Raw genomic sequence first — 1,712 nt, 5'->3', positions numbered from 1 at the left:
TTGGCCTGTCCTGCTAGGATGGTGAAGTTCTCCTGGATAATATCCTGAAGTGTATTTTCGAACTTGGTTCCATTCTCCCCATCACTTTCAGTTGCACCAATCAATTGTAGGTTTGGTCTTTTCACATAGTCCCATATTTCTTGGAAGTTTTGTTCATTCCTTTTCATTCTTTTTTCTCTAATCTAGTCTTCATGCCTTATTTCAGTAAGTTGATCTCCAACCTCTGATATTCTTTCTTCTGCTTGATTGATTCAGCTATTGATACTTGTGTATACTTCACAAAGTCCTTGTGCTGTGTTTTTCAGCTCCATCAGGTCACTTATGTTCCTCTCTGTACTGGTTATTCTAGTTAGCAGTTCCTGTAACCTTTTATCAAGGTTCTTAGCTTTCTTGCATTGGGTTAGAATATGCTCCTTTAGCTCAGAGGAGTTTGTTATTACCCATCTTTTGAAGCCTACTTCTGTCAATTCATCAGTCTCATTCTCCATGCAGTTTTGTGTCTTTGCTGGAGAGGAGCTTCTAACATTTGGAGGAGAAAAGGCATTCTGGTTTTTGGAATTTTCAATATTTTTGCACTGCTTATTCTTCATATTTCTGGATTTATCTACATTTGATCTTTTAGGCCGATAACCTTTGGGTGGGGTTTTTGTGTGGGGGTCTTTTTAGTTGATGTTGATGTTATTGCTTTCTGTTTGCTAGTTGGTCTTCTAACAGTCAGGCCTCTCTTCTGCAGGTCGGCTGCAGTTTGCTGGAGGTCCAATCCAGACCCTGTTCACCTGGGTATCACCAGTGGAGGCTGCAGAACAGCAAAAGATGGCTGCCTGATCCTTTCTCTGGAAGCTTCATTCCAGAGGGGCACTGGCCTGATGCCAACTAGAGCTCTCCTGTATGAGGTGTCTGTCCACCCCTGTTAGGAGGTCTCTCCCAGTTGGGAGGCACGGGGGTCAGGGACCCACTTGAGGAGGCAATCTGTCCCTTAGCAGAGCTGGTGCACTGTGCTGGGAGAACCCCCCTTGTCAGGATCAGCTGCTATCTTCAGAGGCAGCAGGCAGGAAAGATTAAATCTGCTGCGGTTGCGCCCACAGCCTCCCCTTCCCCCACGTGCTCCATCCCAGGGAGATAGGAATTTTATCTGTAAACCCCTGACTGCGCCTGCTGTCTGTCCTTCAGAGATGTCCTGCCCAGTGAGGAGGAATCTAGAGAAGTAGTCTGGCCATAGCTGCTTAGCCGCGCTGTGGTGAATTCCGCCCAGTCCAAACCTCCCAGCCTTCTTAGCACTGTCAGGGGAAAACCGCCTACTAAAGCCTCAGGAATGGCGGATACCCCTCTCTCCACAAAGCTCAATCGCCCCAGGTCGACTTCAGACTGCTGCGCCGGCAGTGAGAATTTCAAGCCAGTGGTTCTTTGCTTGCTGGGCTCTGTGGGAGTGGGACCCATTGAGGCAGGGGACCACTTGTCTCCCTGGCTTCAGCCCCCTTTCCAGGGGAGTGAACGGATCTGTCTCACTGGAGTTCCAGGCACCACTGGGGTATGAAAAAAACTCCTGCATCTAGGTCGGTCTCTGCCCAAACAGCTGCCCAATATTGTGCTTGAAACCCAGAGCCCTGGTGGTGTAGGCACACGAGGGAATCTCCTGATCTGCGGATCGCAAAAACCATTTCAAAAGCGTAGTACTGGGCTGGTAGCAGGGTTCCTCACAGCTTCCCTTGATT

General features: G+C 48.5%; 1 annotated feature.

Annotated features, from left to right (window-relative positions):
- Nucleotides 717-1,216: an enhancer, noted in NCBI's record as "H3K4me1 hESC enhancer chr11:18943059-18943558 (GRCh37/hg19 assembly coordinates)". NCBI's record gives its function as "activates a minimal SCP1, AML or CMV promoter by ChIP-STARR-seq in naive H9 embryonic stem cells {active_cell/tissue: H9 hESC(naive)}" and the evidence as "EXISTENCE:reporter gene assay evidence [ECO:0000049][PMID:30033119]".

Source organism: Homo sapiens, chromosome 11 (assembly GCF_000001405.40).
Source record: "Homo sapiens chromosome 11, GRCh38.p14 Primary Assembly".
In the NCBI taxonomy this organism is placed as follows: Eukaryota; Metazoa; Chordata; class Mammalia; order Primates; family Hominidae; genus Homo; species Homo sapiens.
The sequence above is the reverse complement of the archived record's forward strand: the minus strand, read 5'-3'. Positions and strand labels throughout refer to the sequence as shown.